Source organism: Homo sapiens, chromosome 12 (genome assembly GCF_000001405.40).
Source record: "Homo sapiens chromosome 12, GRCh38.p14 Primary Assembly".
Lineage (NCBI taxonomy): Eukaryota > Metazoa > Chordata > Mammalia > Primates > Hominidae > Homo > Homo sapiens.
The window spans coordinates 22,238,280-22,254,140 of NC_000012.12; the positions used below are offsets into that span (position 1 = coordinate 22,238,280).

The 15,861-nt window shown below is 37.4% G+C and overlaps 1 protein-coding gene across 2 annotated transcripts in view; it reads right to left on the reverse strand.

Annotated features, from left to right (window-relative positions):
* ST8SIA1 (ST8 alpha-N-acetyl-neuraminide alpha-2,8-sialyltransferase 1) overlaps window positions 1-15,861 on the reverse strand; it is a 141,317-nt gene that overhangs the window by 44,889 nt on the left and 80,567 nt on the right. For both annotated transcript variants that reach the window (NM_001304450.2, NM_003034.4), the window contains one exon: window positions 10,727-10,819. In NM_001304450.2, coding sequence (NP_001291379.1) covers window positions 10,727-10,819 — 93 coding nt within the window. The remainder of the gene's footprint in view (window positions 1-10,726; window positions 10,820-15,861) is intronic.

The following is a 15,861-nucleotide window of genomic DNA, read 5'->3' on the forward strand; positions in this document are numbered from 1 at the left end:
TGTAAGGCTATTAAAACATCACGCAATTCCAATTGTTCTCTATGGACACTAGCTTTGGGGAAAGCCAGCTGCCATGTAAACAGTCCAACTTTCTGGAGTCAATCATGCTGTGAGGGTGCCCACACTAATTCACAAGGAGAAACCACACAGAAAGCCCTGAGACTACACAGGAAGGGAGATGTTTGGCCAGCCCCGGCTGCTCCAAGCCTTTGCTATTTCAACTCCAGCCACCATGTGAGAGATCATGAGACAGATCTGTTCAGCCTAGTTCTTCCTGAATTCCTGACCCACAGAAACGTGAAAGATACTAAAATTATTGCTGTTGCTGCTTAAGACCAAAGGATGACCTGTCACTAAGAAGTAAAAAACTGAAAGAAGAGCTAAAAACACTTCAATCTCCCCCTCCTAACTTATGCAATGTCATTTTCCAGTATTTTAGTTGTCTTTCGTTTTGATCACACAAATCATCTGCAAAAATAATGTATGATAATAATTATTGTTTTATACAGATAAAATTGTTTAGATTTATTGATATGTTTAGCAATTCATTTGCATCCCAGGTTTTTTTTCTGGAGTAACATACTCTTTTTCTGAGGTATATTCTTCAGATTTTCTCTCAATGAAGGATCTTTGGAGGTAAAAAATCTGTGTCTGTTTTTCAGAAAACATTTTCTATTGAAACAACTATTGAAGAAATAGATTGCAGAATATACATTTCTATGTTGATAGTTTCTCTCTCAGCACTTTGAAGATACTCTTCCACTGCTTCCTGACATCCATTTTTACTGTTAGAGGAAGTTCGTTTTTAGTATAATTATTCTTTTGCAGGTGATCTGTCTTTTCTTTCTGTCTGCTTTTATAAGCTTCTTATTATCTTTAGCTCTGTTTCACTAAAATTGTCTGTTTGCATTTTTAAAAATTTTAATTGATCTGCTTGATACTTTGTGTTTTGGATCACATTACTTTTTACTTATGGATCACATTAATCATGAATTCTGAAAAAGAGTTCTTATCCCTATTTTATACTTCCACAATTCCACTTTAACATACTCCTTCTCATTCTATCGTCCATGTTTCTTTGTCTTGCCTTTGTATTTTCTATAGCCTCATTATCTGGAAAATTATTTGCTCTGTATTCCAGTTCACAAATTCTCTCTCCAGTTATGTCTAATTTGATGTCTTTCCATTTCAACAATTATATTTTTCATTTCTAAAAGTTCAATTTAGGTCTTTTTCAAGTCTACCTATTTAATTTGGATATTCTCTTATTGGCTTCTCATTCTTTTTATTTTCTATAAAGATTACATATTTAGTAATCTACTGCATCTGACAATTCCAATAAGTTCTCAGGCATTAAATTCATCTGGTACTTTTTGTTTGATTTTTGTCTCTGAGAATTTACACTATTGATGGCTTGTGTGCATTTTGAGTGTTTGCTTATGAGCTATCATTTGTTTGAACATAGTATGTGAGAATTCTATGAGCTTTCTTCCAGAAGAAATTTGTGTGCTTCTGTTGGAAGCCAGGGGCTGCTACTGACCTGGAACCACAATAGGCTCCTTCTCAGGACTTAATATGGGACACCCTCAACATGGTGAGTCCAGAGATTGGTCTCTTTTCTAAGTTTTGGTACCTGACTTTTATAATTCACACCATTTGGTCTGGTTTTTGTTCCCTCATTTTCTGTTTTTGTTTTTTTTGTGGGGAAGGTGGGCATGCAGATATTCTTGGAAATTTCTCTAAATCTGATGAGTACAATAATGTATTAAATAATATGTTTTATCCAAGAACAAAATGTATTGCAACTGGAGAGTCCTCTTGAGTAGCTAATTTGGATATCAGTCAGAATAGCTTCTACTAGATGCAGTTACATTATCTCATTTATATCTCTCAACAGTCCCCAAGGTAAATAATATTTATACTCAATTGACATATGGTACATTAAGTAACTAAGGTTACATAGCTAGTAGGCAGAAACACTTACTAGCACTAGCACTATAATTTGAAAACAAATCCGTTCTAATCAAAACTTGTGTTCTTCACTGCTATATAATATTGCCTCTCAGATACCAACTCCATGTATCCATATTTTTAGGGGCTTTTCTTTTCTATCTCCTACTTGCTATCTCTAGTTTCAGTTTTATTATCTGCCTTCTAATTCCCTTATTTCAGAACAGATGTTAGAATAAATAGCTATCAATGACTTTGAAGCCTTGATACAAACAATGATAAGCTGCTCTGAGTTTGGAGGAAAAAAAAAAAGAAGTCAGACAGCAAAAGAGATATGGAAGTTTTAGGAACACAGTTTGAAACATGCATGTATAGTTTGTGTACATTGAGTTGTACACAATTTTAAAGATAAATTGCTGTAATCTTGGACCCAAGTTATTTTCCTCAAAGCTCAAGTTATTATTTAAAAAGCACACTAATAACATAAACAATTGTTCCCCCTGCGATTATCTCTACATTCTCAATTCCCTTTATTAAACTTAGAGGCACTAACCATTGGATAAAATCTCTTCTACTTGTATGGGAAGATATTTCTCAGGTTATACCTCAAAATAAATATTGAGGTCTCATATCAAGTCCCCTTATTGAATTAAAAGTTATGCATTTACAAATTTTAAAAGTTTAACTCCACCATGATTTTTACTACATTTGTTCTAAATACATTTCTGTTTCCTAGTTCATGCCAACTCTTTTTTTTTTTTTTTTTTGAGACAGGGTCTTGCTCTGTTGCCCAGGCAAGACTGCAATCATGGCTAACCTTAACCCTAACCCTAACCCTAACCCTAACGCAACCTTCTGGGCTCAAGCAATCCTCTCACCTCAGCCTCCCGAGTACCTGGGACTACCAGAACATGCCACCATGCCCAGCCAAGTTTTTATTATTTTCTGTAGAGAACATTTTGTATAATTTCAGAAGGTAATATGTTTTGTATCTGTGTCCACACCCAAATCTCATATTGAATTGTAATCCCCAATGTTGGAGGTGGGGCCTAATGGGAGGTGATTGGATTATGGGGACGATTTCTCATCAATGGCTTAGTACCATCCCCTTGGTGCTTTCCTTGCAATAGTAAGTGACTTATCATGAGACCTGGCTGTTTAAGTGTGGCAGCTCACTCGCTGTCTCTTGCTCCTGCTCCTGCTCGGGCCATGTGACATGCCTGCTCCCCCTTTGCCTTCTGCCATGATTGTGAGTATACAGAGGCCTCCCCAGTTGCTGGGCAGATGCCAACATCATGCTTCCTGTAAAGTCTGCGGAACCAGGAGCCAATTAAACCTCTTTTCTTTAAGAATTACCCAGACTCCGGTATTTTTTTTTTTTTTTTTTTTTTGAGATGGAGTCTCACTCTGTCACCCAGGCTGGAGTGCAGTGGCGCGATCTCTGCTCACTGCAAGCAATGTGGGAATGGACTAATATAGAAGGATTCCCTCAAATTTATAAAATCCCTTCCATGGACACTACAACCATGGACATGTCTGCTTCTGTGAGCAACTTCAGGGTTTGAGGCCATCTCATTCAACTTTGTAATGTCATGTCCCAGAGTAGATTTCAAGAAATATTTGTTGGCTCTCATTTTATTCCTCCTCCCCCCCATAAACTTCCAGACCTTCAAACTCCATATGTATATTTTTCTCAAATATATTTGCTCAAGACCAATCTGACAGTCTAAAGAACTCTCTTTTCCAAATTCTATTTCCATAATTTTTCTTTTTCTATTTCATAAAAGAAAGTCATGCCTCCTATTATCCCAAATATTATAATGATTCATTGCCCCAAAGGATAAAAGCCACTAAGCCACCAAACAAAGAAACATTTCCAAAATACATACCTTCTGAGGGAATATCCCCTGAACAAAAGCAAAAATGTATTTAGAAGAAATAGAAAGGAGCTGTGTCTTATTTTATCCAGGGGACAAACTCTTGACAGTTCCCCATACTGTATATGTTGAATAATTAAGCCTGAGAAGTGGGTTTATATTAAATCCAATATAATTAAACCCAATCATTATATTGGGTTATACTGTAACACTTATTTGAATTACAGTAGTCCATCGTCCATCTTTTCTGACAAAAAGTTAATAAATTAATTTGACAAAGAGACTGATTTTGCCAAGAGGACATGTAACATTGGAAGAACTAGATCTGCACTTCTGAAATTCTGACAATATATATATTTAAAGCATATGTATATAATGCCCTGAAAAGTCCGTACTTGGCAACAATTTAACCTATGCCACAAAAATTAGGTTAATTAAAAATAATCAAGGGAATGATGGATTTAAAAAATCTTTTAAAGGATATTTGAACATTAACTTCACCACTACACAATATAGCCATGTAACAAAATGGCACTATATCCCTTAAATTCATACAAATAAAATAAAGAGTATTTGAACCAAAATGTTTTAAGAACAAGGGCTACAGATGGTGCATTGATGAAGGGTAATGATATGTATGAATCCTCTGCCTTCCACCTGCAAAGGCCAGCAAAGGAAGAAAAAGGATAATAGTAAGGAGTTTAAATATCCAGCTGCCAGATTAAAACCACCTCTCTTCTGCCCATAAAAATTCAATCAGAGGATGAATGTGACTGCAAAGCCCTTTCTAATCTTATGTCTCAGGCACCCTAACTAATCTTTTTGTTCTGGGTACTGTCAAGAAGAATGCACTCCAAACAAGATATCCTAACAAAGGCTGTAGCAAAGCTCCTTCTTACTGTAGCAAAGCTCCTTCTTACTGAGAATTTCTTTTAGATAGAGTAATAAGTATTGCCTTCTCTAACTTTCTTTTTTTCACTATAATTATGAGTGCCTCTCACATATGTATGCTTAATTTTTCTAAAACCTGTTTTATCTTGTTACTGATATTTTCTAACAGAATTTTACAGTGAAAACTCTTAATGCTTATAACTTCTGATAGAATATTTTTAGGAGAATCAAGGTTTTGGAGACAGCTATGAAAATTAGCATTTCCACTGCACATCTCTGCCCAACAAGTTTAATTTTTCATCACATGAAAGTACAAGATAACTACTGATGTCTTGGATTTGCACAGCTTTGAGAGAAGACTACGAGATATGAATAAAATATCTAATATAAATAGGATAATCTTCTAATATAGAAATACATACTGCCTCACTTCAATATTATTTCCTCCATTTTACTGTGCCATGAGAGTATAGCATCATCTATATTTTAATCCCTATATACAAGTGTTTGCACTTTGTTTACCACCCTGTTTGCATATACTGCTAGCCACATGAACAAGATGCTATGAATGCAGTCTCAGCTGTATTTAACCAAGTTTCCAGCACTTGCTACCTGTTTGATCCCTTCTATAAAATGGAAAGTTGATAATTGATGGCTTAAAACATTGTATTCCAATTTGAGCACAGAGCTTCACAACACTGACAGTGGTGCTGATAAGGCTTTAACTATATTTCTATTCAAATATTTTTATTGGCCGGGTGCAGTGGCTCACACCTGGAATGCCAGCACTTTGGGAGGATGAGGCAGGTGGATCACCTGAGGTCAGGAGTTCAAGACCAGCCTTGCCAACATGGTGAAACCCCGTCTCTACAAAAAATACAAAATCACCCGGGTGTGGTGGCACACGCCTGTAATCCCAGCTACTTGGGAGGTTGAAGCAGGAGAATCTCTTGAACCGGGAGGCAGAGGTTGCAGTGAGCCAAGATCGCACCACTGTACTCCAGTCCGGGCAACAAGAATGAAATTCTGTCTCAAAAAAAAAAAATGTTTTTATCAATCCTTATGTTCAAGACACTGAGATCCTTTTTATATAGAACTTACACTCTAGTATACGTCTCGAACTCAATTATGTCAAAAAAGCAAACTGAGAACCTTTAAAATTAACTATAAGTTGTATAGTCCTCCATCACTTAGCATACTCTTTTCTTATGTTTTTAGTAAAGTATATCTATTGAAGAGTGCATCTAACATACATGTGCAGCCTAAGCAATCATTATAAAGTGTATATCCATGTTACACCAGCCTGGCCAAGAAAAAGAACACTTCTAGCAATCCAGAGGTCCCATTATTCCACACCTGAACCAATACTCTTCCTACCCTGAGAAGTGACTACTTATTGTTCCTTATAGTTTTACTTGCTACATCTTTGTCCCTAGCCATATTGTTAGTTGGTTTTATTTTTTATTTTAAATAATTATTATTATTTTACTGTCTCACTCGACAGACTTCGGTTCAGTGGCACAAACATGGCTCACTGCAGCCTCGACCTCCTGTACTCAAGCAATTCTCCTGCCTCAGCCTCCCAAGTAGCTGGGACTACAGCCACGTGCCACCATACCTGGCTAACTTTTGTATTTTTTGGTAGAGACGAGGTTTTGCCATGTTGTCCGGACTGGTCTCAACTCCTCAGCCAGTCCACCAGCCTCGGCCTCCCAAAGTGCTGAGATTACAGGCGTGAGCCACCAGGCCCAGCAACTTCATTTTTAGGTCTTAACCACCTGAAAATAATTTTTGGTATAAGTTATGAGGTAGAGGTTTAATTTATTTTTTTCCCATGTGTAATCTAATTATCCCAACATCATTTTGAAAAGTTTATACTTCTTTGCTATTCTCGGCTCTTCATATTTATATCACTCATATAAATATGACATCTGTCATATATACTGGTTTATATCTATGTGGAAATATTTGGGAGTAGCCTATTCTCTTTCACTGCTCAGTTGGTTTATCCTTGCACCAGAGCCACATTGTCTTAATTATAATAGCTTTTTAATAAGTCTTAACATCTTATAGAGCAACTCTGCCCATCATTTTTTCTTCAAGAGCTTCTTTGCTATTCTCGGCATATTTCTACATAACTTTTTAAGTTTAACACACACATACACATGCATGCATCATTAGGATTTCTATTGGAATTTCAATGAATCTGTAGATAGATTTGGGTAGACCTGGTGCCTTTAAATACTGAGTCTTTCAATCATGCACATGGTATTATAGTACATCTAATCAGGTTGTCTAAAGTGTCTCTCAATAAAATTTCATATTTTTTCCAAAGAGGACTTGCTTTCTTGTTTAATTAAGTGTATCATATTATTTGATGCTATTGTAAATGTAATTTTTTCTTATGTCACAAAATGGAATTGGTGTACACATATTGATTTGAACAGAAACCTTGTTACATTGAATACATTTTTTAAAATGAAGAAACTTTCATTCACTTTTACAAAATTATTTATAACCTGTGAAAATGCTACTGTCTCCTTGTGCAACACATGAATCATGGAGAAAGATCAGAAGGTGTGATAGTGTAATGTTGTGAAATATATATTTGATCTTCGACTTCGTAACTCCTAAAATCTTTAGCAACTCCCAGTGATACCTTTTTGCATCTTAAGGAGTTGACTGACGGCTGGCAGCCCTATGCAGCTTCAGAGTGGGGGGCTGGTCACTGCAAAGAATCAAGGCAGGATTCTAGGACTGGGACTTCAGCCCCACTCCCTGACCTCTGGGGAGGAGAAAAGGGTTACAGGTTAAGTTGATCACCAGTGGTTAATGGTTTCATCAATCACGCCTGCTAATGAAGCCTCCATAAAAACCTGAAAGGACAGGGCTTGGAGAGCTTCCAGATAAGAAGGTGGAGGTTTCTGGGGGGTGGTGTGCCCAGGGAGGGCATGGAAGCTCCATGTCCCTTCCCCCATCCCTCATCCTACACACTCCTTCATCTGAATCCTTTGTAACATAATAAACCAGTAAACGTAAATAAGCGTTTCCTTGAGTTCTGTGAGCTGCCCTAGCAAATTAATCAAACCCATAAAGAGAGTTGGGGGAACCCCAACTTGAAGCCAGTCAGTCAGAAGCTCCGGAGGCCTAGACTTGTGACTGGTGGGGGTGGGGGGTAGTCTTGTGGGACTGAGCCCTCAATCTGTGGGATCTGACACTATCTGTAGATAGTGTTGGAATTGAGTTGGAGATACCCCGCTGGTGTCTGCTGCAGAATTGATTGCTTGCTTGGTGTGTGGGGGAAAAACACAAACACACTTGGTGGCAGAAGTTTTCTATGTTGATTATTCTGGGAAAACTATATTGTCTCCTTGTGCGACACATGGATTTTGGAAAAAGATCAGAGGGTGTGATGGTGCAATATTATGAAATAGATATTTGAGATCTTCGATCTCATTCCGTAGCGTACAATGCCTAAAATCTTTAGAAACTCCACAGTGCTATCTTTTTGCATGTTAATGAGTTGATTGAGGCCTTATGCAGCTTCAGGGTGGGGGCCGGGGACCGGTCACTGGAAAGAGCCAGACCCCCCAACCCTGGTTCTTTGTCACAGTCTTCTGTGTTGTAGTGTGAGAACAGAGGAAAAAGCAGTTTGGGTTTTTTTTTTCTCTCAGAGATGGTCACTGGTTGAGAGCACGGGCTTTGGAATAAGAGAGGCCTGGTGAAGTCCCAGGCGATTATTAGCAGCTGTGTGCATGAGCAGGTTCCTAGATTCACCACATCACAGGTTTCTTCTTCTGTCAAATGCATAAATTAAAATAGCTTCTGTCTATTAGGATTGTTTCAAGGATGAAGTGAGGAACTGCCTATAAAGGGCACAGAACCTGGCACACAGCAATGTCAACTAAATACTTACCAATGTTAGTAATAATGATTCTTGCTTGTCCATGCGTGTTTTCTTCATAGTGAGCTTAAGTCTTAACCAACAGTTCTACTTTCCTCTTCAAAATTTAATTTTTGACCCTGTCCTTCCTCCATTTGTATTTATATTTTTTCCCCCAAAACAGTCTCTCCCTCCCTCCCTCCCTCATCTCCTTCCCTCCCTCCCTCGTCTCTTTCCCTCCCTCCCTCATTTCCTTCCCTCCCTCTCTCCCTCAGCTTGTTCTAAATCTTGCTCTGAACATTCTTTTTCACATTCCTTTTTAAATCTTACATCAACTCCACATATTCAGGTAGAAAAACAGAATCTTCTGGTCCTCAATACAATATTGAATGTTTCATTTCCCTCCAAAGGAACATGTGTTCCTTCTTAAAAGTTATTTTATTCCTAAATCAAAATAATAGTCAAAGATGTCACCTTTGGGGGAAACTGGGTAAAGATTATGTAGAGCCTTCTTGTAAATTGTTTTTTGCAATTTTCTGTGAATCTACAGGTATTTAAAAATAAATTGTTTTAATAAAAAAATTTCTTGTAAGTGTTCTCTTATTTCTTCTTTGTACTTTTCTGTTTGAGTTATTATAATGAACATACATTTGTGTTGAAAAATAATAAAATTACTCTTATAAGAACAAAAATAAATACATTTACATGGATTACATTTCTAAATATATACTATAAATGCATTAGAAACATTCAGGATATTTTTTTCAGGGAAGGGAGGAGCATCAGAGTAAGAAAGATCATCCAAAGAAAGATTGTTTTTATAAAAGAAGCCATAAAGGAAAATACTAACAAGTCTCATCGCATAAAAAATTTTAAATTGCAATAGAATATAAATTAAAATATATGTGACAGGCTAGAATAAAATATTTGATACAAAGACTTAATATCCATAATATAGAGTTCCTATAAATCAATAGAAAAATATTTTTTAAAGCAAGTCGAAAGTAGGCAAAAAATACAAAGGAGCAGAAGAAAAAATACTAATAGTCAATACCACTCAGCTCTTATTATATTCAGAAAAATGCAAATTAAGTAGAATATAATGTATCCTTTTTTTCCACAAATAGTATTGTTTTACATATGGGTAACAAGCAGTCTTATCCATTATTGAAGATAAATGGTACATTTGGGGAGGGTAATTTAACAATATCTCCCAAAATTAAAAGCTGATTGCATTTCTAGATATCTATTTTATGGGAATACTTATGAACCAAAACAAGTAGTGCCACGTTGTGAATAAGTGAACACACATGCTGATCACTTGGACGGGACTTAGATGACAAGCGCCTGGGCCCAGAACATCTGGATGTTTCCCTCCTAATTGCCAGGGACACAGGAGGACCTAAAGCAATGCTTGATTCCTCTTTCCTTGGAGACGGACTCCTTCTCTACAATGAACAGTCCTTGGAGAAACAGCTGATAGCTCGCTGATGCACTTCATCAATTAGAGACTGACCCCCTCCCCCACCCCCGCAGCTCCCACAGCAGCTTCCAAGATTCCAGGCAATTTCAAGATTTCTGGAATTGATCCTAGAACAAGAATTTTACATCTGCTCTCCCAAATATGATTGAATATAATATAATGTAATGTAATACAGTATACTATAACCACATATTCTTGTCCATTCTGACAATATTGCTATTTTAATGCATGTATGAATTGGCCAAAGCAATGTAATGGATTGGCCATTGCTTTGTTTTTATTCTTGATATTAATTCAGTTCACAGTTGCCAATCAATAAATTGGGACTGAAGCCAACAAATTGAAAAGTAGCAGTAATGAGTAAACAGAGTATTGTGCTGTTCTTTGAGCAAAACAATTGATCTTCTTGTTATTTCTATCATCTCTAAAGGCAAGAAACAGAATCCCAGAGGAAGCATAAAATATTGTTTGGATTCCCATAATCCTGTTTTCTTTATTTACAATTCCCTTCATCCTTCCTGCCTGTCCAGATGGTTTTCCTCTTGATTTCCCAAACTGAATTATGCTCACTGCCTTTGAAATGCTAAGTACTTGAGAAGACTTCATCTTCGTTCGTCACAAACAGAAGTCATAAACTCTTACCTTTGCCGAATTATGCTGGGATTAGCTGTCACTAACTGACTTTTGGATCCAACATCCTTAGTGTATTCACTTGACAAAGGAGGGAGATTGCATCTAGAGAAACAAGAACAAACATTTTGGAACAATTTGCATAGTTTTAAATCATCAGTTAGAATAATACAAATAGAAATGTTATTAATTCTAGCTGAATTCACGAGTAACTGTTTTGTTTTTTGTTTTTTTTTTTTTTTTGAGATGGAGTCTCGCTCTGTTGCCCAGGCTGGAGTACAGTGGTGTGATCTCCGCTCACTGCAAGCTCCACCTGCCGGGTTCACGCCATTCTCCTGCCTCAGCCTCCCGAGTAGCTGGGACTACAGGCACCTGCCACCACACCCGGCTAATTTTTTTTGTATTTTTAGTAGAGACGGAGTTTCACCGTGTTATCCAGGACGGTCTCGATCTCCTGACCTTGTGATCTGCCCGCCTTGGCCTCCCAAAGTACTGGGATTACAGGCGTGAGCCACTGCACCCAGCCAGTAACTGTTTTTTGTTTTGTTTTGTTTTGTTTTGTTTTTTACCACCTCTCCCTTTTAATAGACATTGGATGAATAATTAACTATCAGCATCTTCCAAATGCTGTCATAAAAACTACTCCTGTTTAGTAAGAAAGATAATGTCAGCCAAAGGGGCAAATTATCTACAAAAAGAAAGAGACAGTAACTAGGAGGTATTTATTCCATTCAAAATATTTTTGAGAGGGTAGGACAGACATTCTTAGACCTGAATTAAAGCTCAGGACAGTGTGATACACTAGAGGACATGGGACCTACAGTACCTCTGCACACCCATAAATCTCAAAAGACAAGGAGGAATTAATATATTTTCTTGTGTTTTTCTTTTTCCAAAATCAAAATTATAAGAGTGCATTCAGGGCCATGTACTATTCACTTAAATCACAGCATGTCTGACTTGTGTGTGTGTGGCCAATGGGTAGGCTGATTACTGGTGAAGGTATAATGGCTCATCATCCAAAGAAATGCAGTGATCCACCATCCCAGTTCAGCCAAAGGAAAGAGTACAGGTGATGTTTCCCTGGTGATGGGAACAGCCACCCCACTCCCACTCCCAAAACCCCACCCTGCCCCAGTTGCTCTCCTTGGCCACCATGTCTTATGAATGCTTACAATGGGAAATATGACCACTGCGAATTCAAATCCCATGGCTTTCTGCCTGTGGAACATTAGGCAAGTTAATTCATTTGCCTGACTTCAGTTTCTCCATTATACAAAATGAGGATAATGATTTTTCCTCTTTTCTTGAATTGTTGTTAAGGACTAAAAAAGGTATGTAATATAAAAATTCCCCAACCTTGATGTGTACACTTAGTAAATATTCAAAAATATCACAGGTCAGAAATAGCATACAAAAATAATTAAATATGTATTTATTATCTATGAAAATGCCAAATGCGCCTATAGTTTCCATTATGCTTTCTTTTATTACTGAGTCCTCATTTCTCCTCTTCAACCATATGTCTAACTTGATTCCTACCACATTAGGGCATCTGTAACTTTTTATTACTTCAGTAAACCAAAGCATCATTTACTTGTAGGTAAAGATATCTTACAAATATTGCAGTCTCTGCTAGTTCCCCAACTACTAAATTTTCCCTACAAATTACCCTCAGTATCCAGGCACCCACTCAGCTGATCAGCTCAAGTTCTCTGATTTTGTCTCTTATTTACCCTGTGAGTATCAACACATCAAGGCATCCTAGGCAGAAACTTGTCTCAGTTGATTTAGAATCTTCTTTTTATCTGCTCTTCGGTGATAAGATACTGGTTTTTCTGGTAGCTACCAACAGGTCAGTTAACCAGTCAGTGGCTTTTGCTGAATGCCCACTGAAAGCAAACACAGTGGGCATTATGGGGGCCTTGGGGGTGGAGCCCAAGTCAGAGAACCTACTCTTGAAGTATCCACAGTCAAGTGGTTGCCCCATATCCCATGTGGTTTCCTGAGGATTCTCATGAGGGAGTGAGTTTATGCATTAACAGCCAGGCTCATCCGGCTGTGGTAACTGATTGTGGTCTTGTGATTTAATTGATCTTTGCAAAGAGGAAGATGACTTCCAGGATAAAACACAGACTAAAATTTGGATACTTATCTCTTAAAGAAGCTTTGATCTTAATTGCCCTTGGAAGCAGGTGAGAATCAGCTATGTTACGCTAAAACTGTAAATTCTGAGTATTGCTGGAGAGTACTGTCAACATGTTTTGTCATTATTAAACAAACTGGTTTTCATGAGTAAATACTTTGTTTTCCTGTGTGTTCCATGGCTCATGTGTCTGGGTCTTTTCATATTTACTGCCACAGAGTAATAGCCCAATAAAAACTTGCAGGTATTTATTATCTTCTAGAACAGAGGTGAATGCTTAAAACCATGAAGATAACATTTTATATGAATTTTGATGTATTTCCAGAAAATAATGACAATACATTTTGGTGTAAGTTCTTCTGGGTAAACTTTTTCTCTAAGTGCAAATATCTGTGACACTTTCCTGTATCTCTTCTCTCAGGAAAAGCACACCAATAATTTTAGTTCCTCAACTCATAAATTGATAATTACAAAGATGTACACAAAAGGCACATTTAATACAGTCAAATTGTTTTAATAAGGCATAATTGTGGTGTAAAATGTTTCAAAGTTTGCATTATCGCTGTTGGCACAATTAACAAATATTAATGACTAAAGTGTCTTAGCAACTGTGCTCATGATCCTAAAAGAGATCTGATCAGAGAATTAATGAGAAGTGAATATTCTTTGAATTGGGATGTGGAAGTAAGTGGGAAATGGGCTTGAGAGAAAGAAATCTTAAAGCAGAAAAATCATGAAATTACTTTAATTTTTTTGTATATGTGAGCAGGCAAAACATACATTTGAGCATAATTCAAAAGGCACCAAAATTATGTTCCCTCATTCATGTCCCCAAGCCAACCAGTTCCTTTTGAGGATGCAATCCCTGTTAACTTTTGTCTGGCAAATCTTCCCAATAAATTGAATTCAATGATATTATTTTTTAAAGTACTGCTTTTGGCTACAGAGCAAATGTTTACTTTGAGAAATGGGAAATTGATTTTCAGCACTAGAAGATGTGTTTGAAAACATTTAAGCAAAGAAAATTATGAAATTATTATATCCTAGTCCTAGAAGACACTTTGAACTGTAATCTGGTATATCACTGTGTACAGGCAGTGCTATTTTTGGATGTTCTCTCTCACTGTATCTGTCCATTACACACCCTACAGTCTAGGACCAGACATACGACATGCTTTCTAATCTACGTTTATTCATTAAATGTTTAATTTTGAATATATAATATCTCGATACATTAAGCATGCCCCAAAATGCATATTAAGCAATGATTTATTAATAGATCTGCAAATGGTCAAATAATTTTGAAATAATTTATCAACTTTTATTACTCCTATAATTTAAAACATACATAAGGCTTTTAAACATTAAAATGTGTCATAAAACAGAACTATTCTTGAAATTAAATCAAAGGCATACGCATACATAGTTCTAGTTATGGTGCTACCTTCTTTGAGTTCTTTCAACCCTCATCTCCCCATATTTTAGAAACATTATGCTTAATACTGTGCCAGGCACTCTAATCAGAAGCGTTCATTAATTCTGAACTTGACTATATCAACACCAGATTGCATATAAGGCTAAAAAAGTCTTGTTTACTTGTGATAAATATGGCCCACTGGAAACAATAGATAACATTCTATGGTGCCTAAGCCTAGTCTTCTACACATTAGTAAACGTCCATCTTCACAAATGGATGACACACACACATACACACTCATGAATACAAAAATACACTTATTGTACTGCACGAAGTGTATTTACATTTCTACGTGTATCAAGGCCACTTGAAATCACTTCTTTGAATCTGTGAGTTGAATACTACGTATTCCTTCTTCCTTACATAATTTTTGGGAAGAGCACAAAAACTAATAATACTCAAGAGCAATTTGAAAATTTAAACTAAACTACATAAACGGTGTTACAATGATACGGTATTCATACAGTCATAGATAGAGTAAGAGTTGCCACAATGGGAAGGGCCTGAGGAATTGCCTACTCCCGCTTCCTCCTACAAATTAGAAAGCTGGGCCCCAGCAAGGGTAAAATAATGCACTGTAGGTCACAGACCTAGTCAACAACAGCAAGGACTTGTCTCCTATCTCGCTGTGTTCTTTGCTGGCTCTTCAGCCTCACCTAATGCCAAAGTACTGGAGAGGGTGCCTGAAGGTGGTTCAGGACTCCCTGCTCTTCTCACCTATTCATGCTCTCTAGGTGATTTTCTCCACTCCAATGCCTTCAATACCTCTCTGGCTCCATCTCAAGCCATTTTCCCCACTGTTCATGACACTGCAACAGCACTTGCTATCTTTCCCACCTTGGACTCTTGGGAAAGGTTGTTTCTCTGCTTAGGGTGAAACGAAGAGAAGACTCAGCTCACACGCCACTTCTCTTGAGAAGCTCCCGTGTGTCTGAATTCCCCCACGGTAGCAAACACATCTCTAGGATATAAATCCACTATAGAATTGTTCAACGCACCATTCCCAGAGCCAGCTCAAGGCCCATATGTCATGGGTGCTCAATGAGCAGGTGTTGCATTGACTGGAACTAAAAGAACTACATTTGTACTTTTTCCACTTTTCTGTTGTTTGTTCACGTTGAAAAGAAAAACTGCAATACAGAGGAAAAACTATGCTGAGGGTACCTGCATGAAGGAAAGGTGGGTATAGAAGGATCTAGACTCTCCTGCAGGCTTCACCAAGTGAGAAAAAAAAATGTCTTTCAAGGAGACCAACTCTGAGAGGGAACTTAGCCCCCACAAGTACATGGCTTCTCTTGAAACTCTCTCAAATAAAGTTTTTACTCTTCCCTCTCCCACTTAGCTCAGGGCTCAGAGGTGACTTAGCATCTTCTTGGCTACCTTTTTTCCACTCCTAGACTGTTACTCGTTTATACTTAAAAATAAACAGGAATACAAAATCTCGCTCAGCTTTCTGTCCTTGATGTTGCTGCAGTCTTCACCCTTCCTGGCCACAGAGTCTGCTGGCACTTGGTTCATAGTCAT